Raw genomic sequence first — 21,366 nt, forward strand, 5'->3', positions numbered from 1 at the left:
ATACTGGTGATACGTTAGCAGAGATACCTACTCATTTACGAGGTGATATCCCAATTCGGTTCATAGACAGATCCTCCCCCCTTTCTTCCCTCCCTCCCTTGCTCCCTTCCTTCCTCTCTTCCTTTCTCTTTCCCCCTTTCTTCTTCCTCTTTTTTAACTTTCCCATCCTCAGACAGTTTCAGACTTTTTTTTTTGAGACAGGGTCTGGATCTGTCACCTAGGCTGGAGTGCAGTGGCACAATCTCGGCTCACTGCAACCTCCGTCTCCCAGGCTCAAGTGATTCTCCCACCTCAGCCTGAGACTACCGGTGCACTCCACCATGCCAGCTAGTTTTGTATTTTTGGTAGAGATGGGGTTTCGTCATGCTGCCCGGTCTTGAACTCCTGGGCTCAAAGCTACCTACCCGCCTTGGCCTCCCGAAGTGCTGGGATTACAGGCATGAGCCACCATGCCTGGCCTCATAGACTTTTTATCTGTGTGTTTAATAATAAAATTCTCTAAAAGAAAGTGCTTACATTGGCTTGATACTGTTCCAGAATCACATGACCTGGAAACTCTGGTTCTGGAACAGTTGCAAATCGCCGAATAACAACTAACAGCATTTCAAGGCCAGAAAGACGGAGCTGGTCACTGTGATCTGTGGCAGCCATAAAAGCCATGCGAATTAAGTCAGCAAGATGCAGTACCAAAAAGTCATCTATAAGATTAAAAAACATATTGGGAGAAAAAAAGATTAGAAAATATCAAAAAAATGTGCTGGAACTAAGACTTACATTAAGTGATAATTTTTCCTCCTTTAAGTACCTCTGACTTGATATACTGTTTTTGCTGTTTGTTAAATAGAGACTTTAAAGCTGGATTTAATGTACACTGCAAATACACACAAGAAAACTGTCCCAAAGCTAGTAAGTATATCCAGCTACTCAGGGCAGAATTAGCATTTTTTAAGTGTCCTAATAGTATCTTCAATAAAATTTTGTTCAGCTTTTATGATAAAAGTACATTAGTTGGTATGGAGGAGACTTTGGGCTTTGACTAATTAAGCAGAAATTTATTTTCTTTATGTCAGGTTGAAGCTAAGACATAATGTTCCTTTAAAAAAAAGTTTTATGCGGCTCTTTCTATGAACGACAATATCTTATTTTTACATATACTGCCAAACATACAAATGGTGGGAGTATAAAAAACATTTCTAGTCGTAGAAATGATAAATGGTAATTCCTTTCATTCCTACAACACATTGTTTGGTATAACATATCTCCTGTGGAGAGATATAAGAAAATCATTTAACAGAAGAAATCACGTCTTAGTAAATGCCAACTACAACTTTAACTGAGAGCACAGGAATCAGTTAAGTATCTACAGTATGTAAATTTTGTAACTGTAAAGTATCTAGCAAAGTGCTCATCACAAGAGACTCAATAAATGCATACTTAAAAATAATTAAACCAGAGATACCTAATTCATACTCAGACTGGCAACAGCAACATTTTGCTTTGTAATTCTTTTGTCTGGTAAAGAATACTTCTAAGGAATTTAGAAATATGCACTGTGGACAGGTGTGGTGGCTAATGCCTGTAATCCCAGCACTTTGGGAGGCTGAGGTGGGAGAGTCACTTAAGCCCAGAAGTTTGAGACAGCCTGGGCAACATAATAAGATCTCACTTCTACAGAAAAATTAAAAAATTAGATGGGGATGGTGGTATATGCCTGTTGTCCCAGCTACTCGGGAGGCTGGGGTGGGAGGATTGCTTGAGCCTGGAAGGTTGAGGTTACAGTGAGCTGTGATCATGCCACTGCACTCCAGCCTGGGTGACAGAGTGAAATGCTGTCTAAAAAAAAAAAAAAAAAAACACAAATATGTATTGTGTCTTTGAACATATGAGCTTAAGTGAATTTAAAAAATCAGACATCAAACCATAAAGGCAAACATAAATAGGTAAAAATAATACAGTTAAACAGTAAGAGGTGGTCAAAATGGTCTTACAATCAGGTTTACTTAACACTGAGAAAGGCTCAAATGTTTTTTAGTTAATATCTATGATACTAAAATAATCTGTAAGCAAAAACTGGCCCAAGTTACAAACCAGGAAATAATTTTTGAGAACTAGTAAATGTTCATACTATTTCCCAAGAACCAATTATTTTCTATAAACTTAATGCATTGCACCTGCTCATTAAAGTGAATGCCAATATAAGAAGCTTAACCATTAAAAATGTATTTAAACATGAAGTGATGTGAACACGGCTCACTGCAAGCTCAAACTCCTGGGCTCAAGTGATATTCCTGCCTCAGCCTCCCCAGTAGCTGGAACTATAGGTGCATGCCACCATGCCTTGCTAATTAAAAAAATTTTTTTAATAGAGACAATGTTTCATTGTTGCCCAGGCTGGTTTCAAACTCCTGGGCTCAAGTGATCCTCCTGCCTCAGCCTCCCAAAGTGTTAGGATTACAGGTATGAGCCACTGTGTCTGGCTAGTTTCATTTTAAAAAAATATTTTAATATTTTAAATATTAAAACCATAAGCAGACAGCATTTTTACACATATCATTTGGTGTTTTCATCACTATGTCACTTACTTCTTGAATCTCTTTTTTTCATTTCTTGTGCTAAAGCAATGTCAAAATGTGCACTGTTAGCATTCTCACATTGGTTAATTATCCTACAGACACATTCAGCAGCAAAGACTCTAGTAGCCCATCGGGGATTGGTAAAAGGATGGGATTTTTCATCACGTCTGGTGGTCAGGACTGAGGCATCATCCCCTTTATCTCCTTCTTCTTCTTGCATTGTATCCACACAAGTTACAGCTGTAAAATCTTTTATTAAAGGAGAACATATGTAATTATAATCAACTGAAAGATATATATATATATATCAAAAGGAACAAAAAAATGACTTCAAATTCAGACTAGAATTGCTCAACTATCAATTGCTACTGATCAATCATCTTTTTAATAACATCAAATAATTAGGTCTAATAACTACATACAACTAAACAGCTGTCTAAAGGAGATGCTGTTAAGAACTGTTCCAGGTCAAAATGACCAAGCTGTTAAATTATACTCAAAGTAAAAAACAAACACAATAAAAAATATTTAAAAAAACAAACAAACACAATAGTAGATACTGAAATAATTATCAATCCCCTGCAAGTAGATGGATGTACTTAAGGAGACTCAAAATTCTCGGGTGTGGGTGGGATACATTGGGAAGGCTGTTTTAACACTGGAGCCTTGCATGGATTTCAGGAGGTTCCTGAATCTACTGAAATTGTCTGAAAATATTTTTCTTAGGATAGACTCATTGCTACCATTACAGTATCAAAGGTGTAATGATAGCTGGTCACTGAGTAGTGAATTATCTCCTCTACTTATTAACTGTTACACTTACAAACTGTTTAACAACTGAAAATGGAACTAATGCTATGAAACAAACCAAACTGCTTTTCTTATATTATCCCGTATGTCAATATTTTTTTGCACGTTAGAATACCAAACATGTCACAAATAAAGTTATGGTCAAGTTAACAGAGCCTGGAAGGTGTTTTCCTGAGAAGGTATGGAGCCAAACCTCAGAAGATGAAGAATTAATGGCAAGATAAAATTGAGCAAGCTCAGGGAGTATGAATGCAAAATTTAAAAAAGATAATTGAGACACCAGGAAAATGTAATCAGTCTATGCACACATGTATTTTCTTTTTTTTTTTTTTTTTGAGACAAGATCTTGCTCTGTTACACAATCATGGCTCACTGCAGCCTCGAACACCTGGGCTCAGGCGACATTTTCTTTTAAAGAAGTCCTTGCAATTTCTTGAGTAGTGGGGAACAGAAGAGAAAATTAGAAAAATAAAATATGTAAAGCGTAATAGTTGAAACAGCCAGTGTAAACCATTGGAAGAGGGACCAATAAGAATCAAGATAGTCAGAGCAGAGAATACAAAACATTCCAGGAATTTGGTGTTAACTTTTCTCCTATCACACAATTCAGACATGAGAGCTACATTAAATTCTAAGGCTTGGGCAACTGAGTTGGGAGCACTGAAGTACAGTGGAAGGCTTGTGGATTTTAAAAGTTGTGTAGGCGTAGGACTGAATCTGTCTATGTCTTCAGGCAGGTTACCTCTCCAAGCCTATTTTCTCTTCTATAAAACAGAATAAAATTGTCTATGCATAGAATGGGTTAAAGGCTTAAATCAGATAAATTATATACAGTTCTTGGAAAATAACTGGTTTTTCTCTTCTCTCTTCCTCTCATTTATTTTCTCTCTTACTCCAAGGATACAAATTTTAAAGATTTGAATATACTTTCTCATGAACAATTATCTTGTATTACTAAAGACATTAGGGTAATAACAGTTTTCTAATACTACTTGAAATTAACATTATTGTATGTAGTGAAACTGGCTTGCTCAAAATGTCATAACTTTGTATAACTTTCTCTTATGGTGACTAAGTAATTTCATACGGTGCGAGGGGTGGGGTGGGTATGTATGAACATATGTATGTATGTATGTATGTATGTATGTATGTATGTATGTAGAGACAGGGTTTCACTCTGTTGCCCAGGCTGGAGTGCAGTGGTGTGATCTTGGCTCACTGCAACCTCTGCCTCTCGGGCTCAAGCAATCCTCCCATCTTAGCTTCCCGAGCAGCTGGGACTACAGGTGTGAGCCACCAGGCCCAGCTAATTAAAAAAAAAATTTTTTTTTGTAGAGATGGTGTTTTGCCACGTTGCCCAGGCTGGTCTCAAACTCCTGGACTTGAGCAATCTGCCTGCCTCAGCCTCCCAAAGTGCTGGGATTATAGGGGTAAGCCACCACACCTGGTCTCAAATATTTGTTGTATGTATGAAAAGAAATGATGGGAACAATATACATCAAGTCACACCTTTTAGGGCATAAACAATAACTTTACTTTTTAATTTGTTTTATATAGGAAAGTCATCTAAGACAGCCAAAGGGAAAAAGAGCAGGCTTAAGTATTGGATTTATATTGTTCAAATTACAGAGAATTCTAAAACACTAGAAATACAATCTTCATTTGAAGAAAAGCAACAATCAGACAGTCAGAATCCAGCTAGTTAGACAAGACTGATGAATTCTCAGTGGTAAACAATTTTATGTAAAGTTTCAAATTTCAATTTTATTATTTTAACTGATAATGTCCAATACTTACCAGCTGATGCAGCAAGTACATCTTTACAAAGCTTTAACCACAGGGAGAGTTTTTCCACTGCCATAGATGTAAGCATATAATTTAAAGTCTCTTTGATATCATGGCATAATCTCTCATCTGTCTCCTTGTCTAGTAAGATCAACAATGCCCCCTCAAGGCCAACTTCTCTGATGTTAGCATCTGACAAGAAGAAAATCAATTATCTAAGTAATACAGAAAACAAAACTACCATATCAGAAGCTCACACATTCAGTAGTTATTCAAATAGTAGATAAAAATACATCTTAAAGAACTAGCCCAAATACTGTGCTTTAATCTACTGAGATCCATTTTAGTTCACACTTGAATTTTGGGATTTATGATCCTATATAGCAGTATTTTATGTAATGTCACTGAAAAAAAGTATTCATATGTTATTATTAATATGTTTTCTTAATCAGGTAAAAAGTTTTACCCAATTAGTGTCCAATACTTACAAAATTTTTTTTTCTTTATTCGAGACAGAATTTCACTCTTGTTGCCCAGGCTAGAGTGCAATGGCACGATCTTGGCTCACTGCAACCTCCGCCTCCCAGGTTCAAGCAATTCTCCTGCCTCAGCCTCCCTAGTAGCTAGAATTACAGGCACCCGCCACCACGCCCAGCTAATTTTTTTTTATTTTTAGTAGAGATGGGGTTTCACTACGTTGCCCAGGCTGGTCTCAAATTCCTGACCTGAGGCGATCCACCCATCTCAGCCTCCCAAAGTGCTGAGATTACAGGTGTGAGCCACTGAACCCAGCTCAATACTTACAAATTTTATTCAGTGCTTAATTTTTTTTTTTTCCTTTTGAGACAGAGTCTCACTCTGTCACCCAAGATGGAGTGAAGTGGTGCAATCTCGGCTCACTGCAACCTCTGCCTCCCGGGTTGAATTGGTTCTCCTGCCTCAGTCTCCTAAGTAGCTGGGACTACAGGTGCCTGCCACCATGTCTGGCTAATTTTTGTATTTTTAGTAGAGACGGGGTTTCACCATGTTGGTCAGGCTGGTCTTGAACTCCTGACCTCAAGTGATCCACCCACCTTAACCTCCCAAAGTGCTGGGATTATAGGCGTTGAGCCACAGTGCCCAGCCTCCAGTGGCACTTTTTTTTTTTTTTTTTTTTTTTTTGAGACCGAGTCTTGCTCTGTTGCCCAGGCTGGAGTGCAGTGGCATAATCTTGGCTCACTGCAACCTCCGCCTCCTGAGTTCAAGCAATTCTCCTGTCTCAGCCTGCTGAGTAGCTGGGACTAGAGGCGACCACCACCACGCCCTGCTAATTTTTGTATTTTTAGTAGAGACGGGTTTCAACAGTGGCCAGGCTGGTCCCGAACTCCTGACCTTAGGTGATCCACATGCCTAGGCCTCCCAAAGTGCTAGGATTATAGGCATGAGCCACCACGCCTGGCCCAGTATAATTATTTTCTAGTTTTAAAAAAACATAATTAAGTTTTCCTTATTCTGGTATAAAGCTTTAAAATATATTAACGTGAGAGTAAAGCTCAAACAGAAAACAAACACTATATGGAGAACACTGTTTAATTACTACAACTAAGCTATTGTGGACTACTGAATAAACATATATCACTATACAATATTCTCACTACAAAGTAATACCTCAAAGGGGAAATACTAGCCTTGATCTAGCATCTACTATTACCTTTAATTCTGAAAATGCCAAAAGGACAAATACATTTTCTCTTGAAGAGTTAACTCATCTAGCATTTATGAAAGCATGTAGATTTGAAAGGTTATATTATTAGTAGACTATTCTATTTATTTATTGTTTTGGAGACAGAGTCTCGCTCTGTCGCCCAGGTTGGAGTACAGTGGCACAATCTCACTGCAATCTCTGCCTCCTGAGTTCAAGCGATTCTCCTGCCTCAGCCTCTCCAGTAGCTGGGATTACAGGCATGTGCTACCATGCCCAGCTAATTTTTTTTTTTATTACCTTGTAGAGACGAGGTTTCACCATGTTGGCCAGGCTGGTCTCGAACTCCTGACCTCAGATCCACCCGCCTCAGCCTCCCAAAGTGTTGGGATTGTAGGAGTTAGCCACTGTGCCTGGCCTTTGTGGGTGTTTTGTTTTGTTGGTACTAGACTATTTTAAAAGAGAAATTATCTTTTAAATATTAGAAGGAGGTGATAGAAATGTTTCAGATTAGGGATCTAACAAGATATAATAGCTAAGGTAATGTGAGTCATGACTGGATCTTAGATTTAGGTGGCAGTGAGGGGAGAGGAATCATAAAGGACATTTTTTGGATGACTAGGGAAATGTGTGTGAGGGCTGCAAATCAATATTGATTTTCTTAGGTGTGTGATCATGTATGGGTATGTCCTTTGCATTAGTCCATTTTCATACTGCTATAAAGACATACCCAAGACTGGGTAATTTATTTAAAAAAGAGGTTTCAGTCCAGGCACAGTGGCTCACGCCCATAATCCCAGCACTTTGGGAGGCTGAGGCAGGTGGATCACCTGAGGTCAGGAGTTTGAGACTAGCCTGGCCAACATGGTGAAACCCCATCTCACTAAAAATACAAAAAATTAGCCAGGCATGGTGGCAGGTGCCTGTAATCCTAGCTACTTGGGCAGCTGAGGCAGGAGAATCGCTTGAACCCAGGAGGCGGAGCTTGCAGTAGGCCAAGGTTGCACCATTGCACTCCAGCCTGGGAGACGGAGTGAGACTCTGTCTTGAAAGAAAAGGAAAAAAAAAAAAAAGAGGTTTCATTGACTCACAGTTCCACATGATTGGGGAAGCCTCAGGAAACATACAATCATGGTGGAAGGGGAAGACGCATGTCTTACATGGCAGCAAGCAAAAGAGAGCATGTGAAGGAGGCAAAGGGGGAAGAGCCCCTTATAAAACCATCAGATCTTGTGAGAACTCACTATCACGAGAACAGCATGGGGGAAACTGTCCCCATGATCCATTTACCTCCCACCAGGTACCTCCTTCAACAACTGGGGATTCTAATTGAAAATGAGACTTGGGTGGTGACACAAAGCCAAGCCATATCATTCCACCCCTGGCCCCTCCCAAGTCTTATGTCCACATTTCAAAACCAATCATGCCTTCCCAACAGTCTCCCAAAGTCTTAATTCATTTCAGCATTAACTCAAAAGTCCATAGTCCAAAGTCTCATCTGAGACAAGGCCTATGAGCCTGTAAAATCAAAAGCAAGTTAGTTACTTCCTAGATACAATGGGGGTACAGGCATTGGGTAAATACTCTTGTCCCAAATGGGAGAAATTGGGCTGCAGTCCCCACGCAAGTCCAAAATCCAGTGGGGCAGTCATAAAATCTGAAAGCTCCGAAGTGATCTCCTTTGATTCCATGTCTCATATCCAGGGAACACTGATGCAAGAGGTGGGCTCCTACAGCCTTGGGCAGCTCCACCCTGTGGCTTTGCAGGGTATAGCCCCCTGCCCCACCTACTTTCACAGCTGGCGTTGAGTATATGTGGCTTTTTCAGGCGCACAGTGTAAGCTGTCAGTGGATCTACCACTCTGGGGTCTAGAGACCCTCTTCTTTTCTTATTTTTTTGAGATGGAGTCTCGCTCTGTCATCCAGTCTAGAGTGCAATGGCATGGTCTCGGCTCACCGCAACCTCCACCTCCTAGGTTCATGTGATTCTCCTGCCTCAGCCTCCTGAGTAGCTGGGATTACAGGCATGCACCACCATGCCTGGCTAATTTTTCTATTTTTAGTAGAGATGGGGTTTCACCATGTTGCCCAAGCTGGTCTTGAACTCCTGACCTCGTGATCCACCCGCCTTGGCCTCCCAAAGTGCTGGGATTATGGGCGTGAGCCATCATGCCCGGCCTTGACAGTGGTCCTCTTCTTACAGCTCCACTAGGCAGTGCCTCAGTGGGGACTCTGTGTGGGGGCTCTGACCCTTCATTTTCCCTTTGCACTGCCCTAGCAGAGGTTCTCCATGAGGGCTTCACCCCTGCAGCAGACTTCTGCCTGGACATCTGGGCATTTCCATGCATCCTCAGAAATCTAGGTGGAAGTTCCCAAACCTCAGTTCTTGAATTCTGTGCACCAGCAGGCCCAACACCATGTAGAAGCTGCCAAGGTTTGGGGCTTGCACTCTCTGAAGCAATGGCCTGAGCTGTACCTTGGTCCCTTTTAGCCATGGCTGGAACAGCTGGAACACAAGGCAACAATTCCCAAGGCTGCACAGAGCACGGGGACCCTGGGTCTGACCCATAAAACCATTTTTCCCTCCTAGGCCTCTGGGAGGGGCTGTTGTTGAGGTCTTTGACATGCCCTGGAGACATTTTCTTCATTGTCTTGGCAAAAAGATTAACATTCGAGGCCAGCGCCGGTAGCTCACACCTGTAATCCCAGCACTTTGGGAGGCCGAGGTGGGTGGATCACGAGGTCAAAAGATCGAGACCATCCTGGCTAACAAGTAGTGAAACCCTGTCTCTACTAAAAAATACAACAAATTAACTGGGTGTGGTGGCAGGTGCCTGTAGTCCCAGCTATTCGGGAGGCTGAGGCAGGAGAATAGCATGAACCCAGGAGGCAGAGCTTGCAGTGAGCCAAGATTGCGCCACTGTGCTCCAGCCTGGGCGACAGAGTGAGACTCTGTCTCAAAAAAAGAAAGATTAACATTTGACTCCTTGTTACTTGTGAAAATTTCTGCAGTGCGCTTGAATTTCTCCCCAGAAAATGGGGTTTTCTTTTCTATCACATCCTCAGGCTGCAAATTTTCCAAACTTTTATATGCTCTGCTTCCCTCACCTTTTTTTTTTTTTTTTTTTGAGACAGAGTCTCACTTTGTCGCCCAGGCTGGAGTGCAGTGGCGCAACCTCAACTCACTGCAGCCTCTGCCTCCTGGGTTCAAACGATTCTCCTGCCTCAGCCTCCCCAGTAGCTGGGGTTACAGGTGCCACCACCACGCATGGCTAAGTTTTGTATTTTTAGTAGAGATGGGTTTTCATCATTTGACCAGGCTGGTCTCAAACTCCTGACCTCAGGTGATCCACCCACCTCAGCCCCTCAAAGTGCTGGGACTACAGGCATGAGCCACCGCACCCAGCCTCTGATTCCCTTTTAAACATAAATTCCAATTTCAGATAATCTCTCTCAAGTTCAAAGTTTCACAGATCTCTAGGGCAGGAGCAAAACGCTGCCAGTCTCTTTGCTTAAGCATAGCAAGAGTGACCTTTACTACAATTCCTAGAAGTTCCTCAACTCAATCTAAGACCATCTCACCTTGGGCTTCATTGTCCACATTATTATCAGCATTTTGGTCAAAGCCATTCAACAAGTCTCTAGAAGTTCCAGACTTTGCCACATCTTCCTGTCTTCTTCTGAGCCCTCCAAACCATTCCAACCACTGCCTATTACCCAATTCTAAAGCTGCTTCCAAATTTTTGGGTATCTTTATAGCAGTGCCCCACTCCTGGTACCAATTTACTGTATTAGTCTGTTTTCACACTGCTATAAAGAGATACCTGGGACTGGGTAATTTATAAAGGAAAGAGGTTTAATTGACTCACAATTCTGCATTGTTAGGGAGGCCTCAGGAAACTTACAATCATGGTGGAAGGGGAAGAGGCACGTTTTACATGGCAGCAGGTGAGAGTGTGTGTGAAGGAACTGAAGGGGCAAGAGCCCCTTATGAAACCATCAGATCTCATGAGAACGCACTCACTATCATGAGACCACCATGTGGAAAACCGCTCCCATGATCCAATCACCCCCAACTAGGTCCCTCCCTCAACACCTGGGGATTGTAATTCAAGATGAGATTTGGATTGGGACACAAAGCCAAACCATATCCTTCTTCTTGGGAAATGCAAACTTAAGTATTTAGGGTGAACTGTCATGATGTCTGGGGCCTGCTTTAAGATGATTTGGCAAAAGGTTTACGTGTGTATATGGAGGGAGATGTCGATAAAATAAGTGTCATAAAGACATTAAGTAGATGAATCAACATGTTCACTGCATAATTCTTTTGGGTTCAAAAAATTATAATATCTGTTATGATGATCTGTGATCAGTGATCTTTGATTGGTGATCTTTGATGTTACTATTTTAATAGTTTTGGAGTGCCACAAACTATGCCCACGCAAAACAGCAAATTTATTCAATAAATGTTGAGTGTGTTCTGACTGCTCCAAGCCATTTCTCTTTCTCTCCTGGCCATTCCCCATCTCTTTTATTCTAATCAGTCCTCTCTATTTTCTGAGACACAACAGTATCAAAATTAGGCCAATGAATAACACCGCAATGGCCTTGCAGTGTTCATGTGAAAGGAAGAGTCACACGTCCTTCACTTTAAATCAAGAGCTGGAAATGATTTAAGCTTAGTGAGAAAGGCATGTCAAAAGCCAAGACAGATTAAAAGTTAAGTGTCTCTTAGGCCAGTTATCTAAGTTGTGAATGCAAAAGAAAAGTTCTTGAAGGAAATTTAAAAGGCTACTCCAGTGAACACACAAATGATAAGGAAGATAAACAACCTTATTAACCAACACAGAGACAGTTTTAGTGATCTGGACAGAAGTTCAAATCAGGCTCAGGCCTGTAATCCCAGCACTTTGAGAGACCGAGGTGGGCGGATCACCTAAGGTCAGGAGTTCAAGACCAGCCTAGCCAACATGATGAAACCCCGTCTCTGCCAAAAATACAAAAATTAGCCAGGCATGGTGGCGGGCACCTGTAATCCCACCTACTCGGGAGGCTGAGGCAGAAGACTCGCTTGAACCCGGAAGACGGAGGTCGCAGTGAGCCAAGATCGCGCCACTGCACTCCAGCCTGGGTGACACAGCAAGACTCCATCTCAAAAAAAAAAAAAAAAGTTCAAATCAGCCACAACATTGAGCCTGATGCAGAGCAAGGCCCTACCTCTCTTTAATTCTTTGAAGGCTGGGAGAGGTGAGGAAGCTACAGAAGAAAAGGTAGAAACTAGCAGAGGTTGGTTCATGGGGTTAAGGAAATAAGCTGTCTCCATAACATAAAAATGCAAGATAAAGCAGCAAATCCTGATATAGAAGCTTCATCAAGTTAGCCAGAAGACGTAGCTAAGGTCAAAACAACAGTTTTTCTTTTTCTTTCCTTTTTTTGAGACTGAGTCTTGCTCTATCACCCAGGCTGGAGTACAGTGGCGTGATCTTGGCTCACTGCAACCTCTGCCTCCCGGGTTCAAGCTATTCTCGTGCCTCAGTCTCCTGAGTAGCTGGGATTACAGGCACCCACCATCATCACATCCGGCTAATTTTTGTATTTTTAATAGAGATGGGGTTTCACCATGTTGGCCAGGCTGGTCTTGAACTCCTGACCTCAAGTGATCCACCCACCTCGGCCTTCCAAAGTGTTGGGATAACAGGCGAGAGCCCAGCCTAAAACAACAGATTTCAAAGTATATGAAATAGCCTTCTACTGGAAGATGCCATCTGGGACTTTCATAGCTAGAGAGGAGAAGCCAATTCCTAGATTCAAAGGATAGGCTGACTCTCTTGTGATGGGCTAATGCAGCTGGTGACTTTAATGCCAGTGTTCACTGACCATTCCAAATATCCCATGGTTCTTAAGGATTATGCTTAATTGGCCAGGCATGGTGGCTCACACCTGTAATCCCAGCACTTTGGGAGGCTGAGGCAGGTGGATCACTTGAGCCCAGGAGTTCAAGACCAGCCTGGGCAACAAGGTGAGACCCCATCTCTACAAAAAATACAAAAAAAAAAATTTAGCTGGGTGTGGTGACATTCATCTGTGGTCCAGCTACCAAGGAGGCTGAGGTGGAAAGATCACATGAGCCTGGAAAGTAGAGGCTGAAGTGAGCCCAGGTCGTGCCACTGCACTCCAGCCAGGGCGACAGAGACAGACCCTGTCTCAAAAAAAAAAAAAAAAAAAAAGAACTATGCCAAATCTGCCTGGATGATAGCATATCTGTTTACAACTGGGTTTACTGAATATTTTAAGTCCACTGTTAAGACTTACTGCTCAGAAAAAAAAAAAGATTATTTTCAAAATATTACTGCTCACTGACAATGTGCCTAGTTACCCAAGAGCTCTCGTGGAGGCGTACAAGGAGATAAATGTTGTTTTCATGCCTGTTAACACAATATCCATTCGCAGATTAAGGAGTCATTTTGATTTTCAAGTTGTCTTATTTAAAAAATACATTTTATAAGGCTACAGCTGCCACAGACGGATGGATCCAGGCAAAGTAACTGAAAACCTTCTGGAAAGGATTATCATTCTAGATGGTTTCTGCAGATGGAATCTACTCCTGGTGAAGATGCTGTGAACACTGTTGAAATTACAACAAAGGATTCAGAATATTACGTGAATTTAGTTGATAAAGTGGTAGCAGGTTTGAGAGAACTGATTCTAGTTTTCAAAGTTCTACTCTAACTAAAATGCTATCAAAAAGCATTGCATGTTACAGAGTAATCTTTCATGAAAGGAAGTCAATGGATATGGCAAACTTCATTGCTGTCTTATTTTAAGAAATGGCCAGCCGGGTGTGGTGGCTCACGCCTTTAGTCCCAGCACTTTGGGAGGCCGAGGCGAGTGGATCACGAGGTCAGGAGATTGAGACAATCCTGGCTAACATGGTGAAACCCTGTCTCTACTAAAAATATAAAAAATTAGCTGGGTGTGGTGGTGGGCACCTGTAGTCCCAGCTACTTGGGAGGCTGAGGCAGGAGAATGGCGGAAACCCGGGAGGCGGAGCTTGCAGTGAGCCAAGATCGTGCCACTGCACTTCAGCCTGGGTGACAGAGCAAGATTCCATCTCAAAAAAAAAAAAAAAAAAAAGAAAAAGAAATCGCCACAGCCACCCCCTCAAACCTTTAGCAACCACCACCCCTGATTAAGCAGCCATCAACACTGAGGCAAGACCCTCTACCAGCAAAAAGATTATGACTCACTGAAGGCTCAGATGATGGTTAGCATCTTTTAGCAATAAAGAATTTTTAATTTAAGGTATGTACATTGCTTTTTTAGCCATAATGCTATTTCACACTTAGCAGACTACAGTATAGTACAAACATAACTCTGATATGCACTGGAAAACAAAAAAATTCCTGACTTGCTTTATTGCATGGTCTGGAACCAAACCCACAATACTAGGTATTGTGTATAGGTATGCCTATATAGCAGCCCAGCCATGCTGATTAATTCAAGTTGAAGCAAAAGTTTTTATTTTTTTTTTTTGTTAGAGACAAGGTCTCACTATATTGCTCAGGCTGGCCTTGAATTCCTGGGCTAAAGTGATCTTCTCACCTCAGCCTCTAAGGAAGCTGGGACTACAAGTACATGCCGCCACAACTTGGGCCAGCTCCCTAAACATTTTAATGTCCTGAGAATAAAACTGTTACTTAAAGAGCATAGATTACTGATAGTAAAATATATTATGGACCTAAAAGCTTAAGATACTGAAAAGCTCCGTGAAGTCTATAACTTTCTAAAAGTATGATGGTACTTTGAAAACTATATACATAAATTATTATTATTATTTTTTGACACAGATTCTCGCTCTGGTGCCCAGGCTGGAGTGCAGTGGTGCAATTTCGGCCCACTACAACCTCCCCCTCCTGGGTTCAACTGATTCTTGTGCCTCAGCCTCTCAAGTAGCTGGGACTACAGGCGCATGCCACCACACAGATCTAATTTTTTATATTTTTAGTAGAGACGGGGTTTCGCTATGTTGGCCAGGCTGGTCTCGAACTCCTGACCTCCGGTGATCTGCCCACCTCGGCCTCCCGAAGTACTGGGATTACAAGCGTGAGCCACTGTGACCAGCCAGGGTGTAAGATAATTACCTTTTTTTTTTTTTGGAGTCAGTGTTTTGATCTGTAACCCATGCTGCAGTTATTATGCAGTGCATAATAACTCACAGCAACCTCAAACTCCTGGGCTCAAGCAATTCTCTTCTCTCAGCCTCCTGATTAATTAGTAGCTGGGACTACAGATGTGTACCATGACACCTGGCTAATTTTAAAATTTTTTGTAGAGATGGGGTCATGCCATATTGCGCAGGGGGTTATTTTTATATATACATACATACATATATATATATATATATATATATATATATATATATATATATATATAATTTTTAAAAATAGAGATGAGGTCTCACTATGTTGACCAGGCTGATCTTGAACTCCTGGCCTCAGGCCATCCTCCCATCTTGGCCTCCCAAAGTGCTGAGATTACAAGCATGAGCTAGTGTGTCTGGCCCCCAGGGCTGTTTTTGAACTCCTGACCTAAAACAGTCCTCTCGCCTTAGCCTCACAAAGTGCTTAAGATTACAGGTGTGAGCCACCATACCTGGCCTATTATTACTATTTTTGTAGGCTAATAGTTTCTTTGAATTCATATGCAAATTCAGGTTATTCATATCATAGTTTTAAAATGAAGTGATATACACTTAAATCTTACTGGCTAAGAAATCCTTTAATTCAGCTCTAAAATGTAAAAGAAGGGGCATTAAAAACTCTTTAACTTGTAGCAGACGTATCTATAATAAATTTTATGAAAGTGAGATTCTGCGGCAAACAGAGGCAGGTGTGATAAATTATTTAAGGGCTAATCCCATTTCATTTGACTGCGGTGAAAAAACTTGCTCTAGATCAGTGGCTCTCAAACTTTAGTACAGTCATGCATGGCGTAATAGGATTATGTTCTGAAGAATGTGTTGTTAGGCAATTTCATTGTCATGTGAACATCATAGAGTGTACTTACCCAAACCTAGATGGTATAGATTACACACACAGGCTATATGGCATAGCCTATTACTCATAGGCTACAAACCCATAGAACAAGTTACTGTACTGGATACTATAGGCAATTATAACACAATGGTAAACATTTGTGTATCAAAACATAGAAAAAGTACAGTGAAGATATGGTATTATAATCTTATGGGACCACTGTTGTATGTGCAGTCTGTTGTTGACCAAAATGCCATTATGTGGCACACAGCTGTACTAACATAGGGACTGTAAAAATACAGATTTAAAAATACAGATTGCCAGGTAATACTCCCAGATTTCTGGTTCAGTAGGTCTGGGATGGGTCCCAATAATCTGCATTTCTAACAAGTTCCCAGGTAAGGTATACACTGCTGGTTTGAAAACCAGTTTGAGAACCACCACTCTAAATCAGTAACATCACTGGTTGGAATAACTGTTAGCAATTCTTTCTTGTAGCAGGTTTAAGACATATTAACTTTTAAACTGTTTCAAAACTCATGTATATATGGAAAATTTAAAATAAAAATAATCATTTGAGCTGGACATAATCTTGATCAAGAGAATTACCTGGAGTCAACTCTTCTCTGCTATCCTTAGCAAGCATAACAGCATGTTCTGAAACTTCAGCTGCTTCTCTTTGTACAAGCTGACGTAAGCAAGCCAGTACTGCTCTTCTCAGTAACAAGTAGGGGCTACAAAGATTCACCTGAAAAATACCATTTGAGGAACGACAGAGCTAAAATTCTTGTTGGCACTCAGTGAGTCTAATAGATATTCACTGGACCCCTTCCTGATTCTGTCCAGCCCATCAGTGGGCTGGACACAATTTATAAATACATAGGAACTTCTTGAAACCATTCTAGAATATATTTCTGATTCTGTAACTTAGAAACAGCTTAATAGGTAATATGTGTACTAGATTATGCACTACTCATAAATCTAACAAAAGTCTTTTGGCAGTGTCAGAAGGCAGAATTTATATGAGTAAATAGACTTTTAAGAGAAAAAAAGAACTACAATGGAAAGGATTTAGTTGCAGTTCATACATTTGTGTTCATGCAACTATATTATAATGTTTTATCATTCTCTAAGCAGAAATTTATACACATCCATATAGGCAATACAGCATATTGGTTAAAATGGAGGCTCCGGAGTCAAAATGTCTCAGTTTGAGTCCTAGATCCATCACTTACTAGCTGTGTGACTGTGGGCAAATTATTTAACTCCTCTAGAGTGCCTTAGTTTCCTCGTTTGTAACACTACTGCATCTCTCAGGGCTATTGTGACATTAACACAAAGCAACATGCAAAGTGCTTACCACAGTACCTGTCAAATAGTAAATGCTCAATAAATGTTAGTTATTATTAGTGTGGTCTTTTAACAATAATATTTTAATCAGACAACATACAAAGTAAATGCATTTTCAAATAAAGGCAGAAAACATTCACCAAAAATGCTCTCTAGAGACAAGCATTACAGAACACCAAATTTTATATATATATACATATTTATGTATTGATAGAATACATATATGTATACATCTTACAGATGCAATGTAAATCTCAATAGGTTGTATCTACCCATGGCAAATGATAAGACTGGTAATATACTTCAGTTACAAGTCAAAGGTTAATGGATAAAAATTCTTAGTGATTTCATATATGAAATAAAGTTGAGATTTTAAATTTTGTACTATGAAAGTAAAGATCAGTCTGGTATGTTCTACAAAATAAATATGTATATTATGGTAGTGATCTTCAAAGCAAAATTTGAGAAATAATGGCATAATTTTATGGCAATCTTTAGATTTGGCATATGTGGGAAAAACAGGACTGAAGTAGGTGAAGTTTTATAAAGAGCAGAGGCTAAATTTTGGGAGGAAATAAAAGGTAGGTAGTAGGAGCTATTAAGAATATATAAGAAGAGTGTCAGGTGTGGTGGCTTACGTCTGTAACGCTAGCACTTTGGGAGGCCGAGGTAGGCAGATCACTTGAGGTCAGGAGTTCAAAACCACCCTGGCCAACATGGTGAAACCCTGTCTCTGCTAAAAAATACAAAAAAATTAGCCGGGCATGGTGGCAGGTGTCTGTAATCCCTGCTACTCGGGAGGCTGAGGCAGGAGAATTGCTTGAACTTGGGAGGTGGAGGTCGCAGTGAGCCGAGATCACGCCTCTGCACTCCAGCCTGGGCGACACAGACTGTGTCTCAGGAAAAAAAAACAAAAACAAAAACATATATATATGTATGTATGTATGTATGTATATATGAGAAGAGGGCTGGGCATGATGGCTCACACCAAGGGAGGCCGAGGCAGGTGGATCACTTGAGGTCAGGAGTTTGAGACCAGCCTGGCCAACATGGTCAAGCCCTGTCTCTACTAGTAACATAAAAATTAGCTGGGCGTGGTGGCACACACCTGTAGTCCCAGCTACTGGAGAGGCTGAGGCAGGAGAATCGCTTGAACCCGGGAGGCAGAAGTTGCAGTGAGCTGAGATTGCACCACTGCACTCCAGCCTGGGTGACAGAGTGAAACTGTGTCTCAAAAAAAAAAAAAAAAAAAAAAAAAGAATGTACAAGAAGAAACACATGCAAAGAGAGCCAAATTCTACATTTTATCAGAAGCCAAGAAACAGAAAAAATTTGTGCATATATCATCACTGAGTAGTTTTTTGTTGTTGTTGTTGTTGTTTTTTGAGATAGGGTATCGCTCTGTTACCCAGGATAGAGTGCTGGAACAGCTTTATAAGTATGTTCTGTTATACCTTCAAGCTGTATTATGAACCCAAAAGTGGATAGAAAGGAATGCCATTCATAAAAAAGTCTCAAGGTATAATGTAATCCCATGTTTAGAAACTATATTGTTAGCAGGTTAGGATAACAGAGAAGTTAAAATATAAAAAGATTATGTTTACTCATCCCCAAGATTACTGTTGTATTTAACAACAATGACTAAAAAAGCACTTTACAAGACAATTTTAAAGGAAAGTTAATAAATCTACTAGTCATTTCAACTGGAGTTTTACAAGCATATAATACAAAGCAGGTGCAGCATTTATTCAGGCTAGTCAAACATCTTTTAGAAAAAGCATGCTTGGAAGTACCCTTTACTTATTTGGTAGAAAAAAGATTGAAGGCTGTCACACAAAGTAAAATGGGAGGCTTAATGTCTCCATGTCATTCTCCAGCATTTATATTGGGAAGAGGAATACAGTGGCTTAAGGCAAACAAACAAAGCAGGCAAAATACAGAAATTAAATTAAACTGTAACTACAATTATTTTCTGAAATGAATATATTAAATAAAAATGAGACCAAATTTAGTGCAAGGAGTGAGTGCACCAGCTGGAGAAGGTTAGGAAGGATTTGCTTATACTGGTATCAAATAAACACCACGAAACATGCTACACATACTGGACTTAGCATTAATGGTTCGCTTAAAAAAAGAGATGCAGAGGAAACAAACATCTACAACCAAAAAATGACACAAAGAAACAGCACCGCAAAACTCAAAAAAAGTTAGGAATCAAGGGTCAGGGACCTACCAACACAGAATTATCCAACAAGATCTCCTGCACAAAAACAAATGACACACCAGTCATGACAAAACCAAAAGATAAATATTAGGATGACTTTGACAACAGTCAGCTAAGCATTAAAATATAAATGTTGATAGTTATTATTTAAATTGGCTTAGCTTCAGCTTAAAAATTTGCCACAAATATTTTATTTTCCAACAAAATGAGTTGAGCCAAGTTTTTGAAAATAGTCAACTCAAGAACTCTAAGACGTAAATATATAATTTTAAAATGTACATGTGATTAATTTTAGGTTTTTCTTCAGAATCTCTGATTAAGCCTCAGTATCAAACCCAATCAAGTAGACATAAGTGTTGAGAGGAGTGATCTGGATTGCATTCACATGAACAGGTGTCCAGCAAGAGGCAAAGTTAATGGTTTACCTCATCAGAAGTTAATTATAGTTTAACTCTTAGAAGCCAAGTTTTAAAACTAAGAGTATTCAGAATTGCTAGTGTAGCTAAGGCCAAGTTTAGAACGGAAGTTAAAGAGCATGCAGTTAAAGGAAAATACTTCCCAGTAGGATTTTTGCCTAATGATGAAATGCAATTTCCTTACTTTGGTGAATACTCTAAAATATAACAAATTCAATCTAATAAATTCAGAATAAATTACTAACCAAAATATTGAGACACTAAATTAATACACTATAGTGATAATTTTTGACTATGATTGTGTATTAAAAAAATCATTTTACAGCTTGAATATTATGAGTTAACATACGATTTGTAACTGTTACTTCAGATCTTCTCACTTGCTCTAATGTACCCAAAAGAAAAGTCTGATAATATAATAATCTCTATTCTTTTTCATATGTAACTTTTTTTTTGATGCCTATTTTTTTTTCCTGCAGTAAATATGTACCCTTTTTTGATTTGGGAAGGCAAAAAGTTAATAAGTTTGATCAGATTTTATTTATTTATATTTTTGAGACAGTGTCTTGCTCCATTGCCCAGGGTGGAGTGCAGTGGCGCAATCATGGCTCACTGTTGCCTCAACATCCTGGATTCAGGTGATCCTCTCACCTCAGCCTCCCAAGTAGTAGTGGGACTACAGGTGCACACCACCATGCCCGGATAATTTTCTTAAAATTTTTTGTAGAGACAAGGTCTCAGTATGTTCCCCAGGCTGGTTTTGAACTCCTGGGCTCAAATGATCCTTCTACCTTGACCTCCCAAAGCGCTGGAACTACAGGTATGAGCCATTGTGCCCAGCTGATCAGATTTTATTCATCATGAATTAATGGGTTATTCTTGTTCTTCATTTCTCAATAAACTTTAATTAATAAAAAAATCATGTATCAGGTAAAGGAGAAATTTTATAGGTAATTAATGGAAATCTTCTACAAGACAAGAAGAAAAAACGGCAGTATCACTTAATTTAAATGGAGAGTAAAAGATCAAATGCAAAGGAGTGAAAAATTTTTCAATAACTGGTTTTAGGAATGACTCTTCAAATATAAAAGTAATATTCCTGGGGAAGAGTCCCTGAATGGTACAGGTAAAATCCTTTTCCTGTAAGTGCTGTTTTCCCTAATACATGATTGACCCAGATCTAAAAAAATACAGGAACAAAAGTTTCTATCAGAAAGTCAGTCAAATTCTCTTTTTAAAGTTTTATTGGGCTAGGCATGGTGGCTCACACCTCTAATCCCAGCACTTTGTGGGGCTGAGGCAGGAGGATGGCTTGAGACCAGAAGTTCAAGACCAGCCTGGGTAACATAGCAAGACCCTGTCTCTACAAAAAAGAAAAAAAATTAGCTAGGTGTGGTGGTACTTTACTGTAGTCCGAGCTACTTCGGAGGCTGAAGGGGGAGGATCACTTGAGCCCAGGAGTTCGAGGCTACTGTGAGCTATGATTGCACCA

General features: G+C 40.1%; 1 protein-coding gene across 1 annotated transcript in view; it reads right to left on the reverse strand.

Annotated features, from left to right (window-relative positions):
- The window catches only part of HEATR5A (HEAT repeat containing 5A), a 128,763-nt gene that overhangs the window by 29,195 nt on the left and 78,202 nt on the right, over positions 1-21,366 (reverse strand). The window contains exons 22-25 of the mRNA NM_015473.4: positions 16,494-16,632; positions 5,181-5,360; positions 2,583-2,822; positions 517-698 (exon numbers count right to left, since the gene is read on the reverse strand). Coding sequence (NP_056288.2) covers positions 517-698; positions 2,583-2,822; positions 5,181-5,360; positions 16,494-16,632 — 741 coding nt within the window. The remainder of the gene's footprint in view (positions 1-516; positions 699-2,582; positions 2,823-5,180; positions 5,361-16,493; positions 16,633-21,366) is intronic.

This window comes from Homo sapiens, chromosome 14 (genome assembly GCF_000001405.40).
Source record: "Homo sapiens chromosome 14, GRCh38.p14 Primary Assembly".
Taxonomy (NCBI): domain Eukaryota; kingdom Metazoa; phylum Chordata; class Mammalia; order Primates; family Hominidae; genus Homo; species Homo sapiens.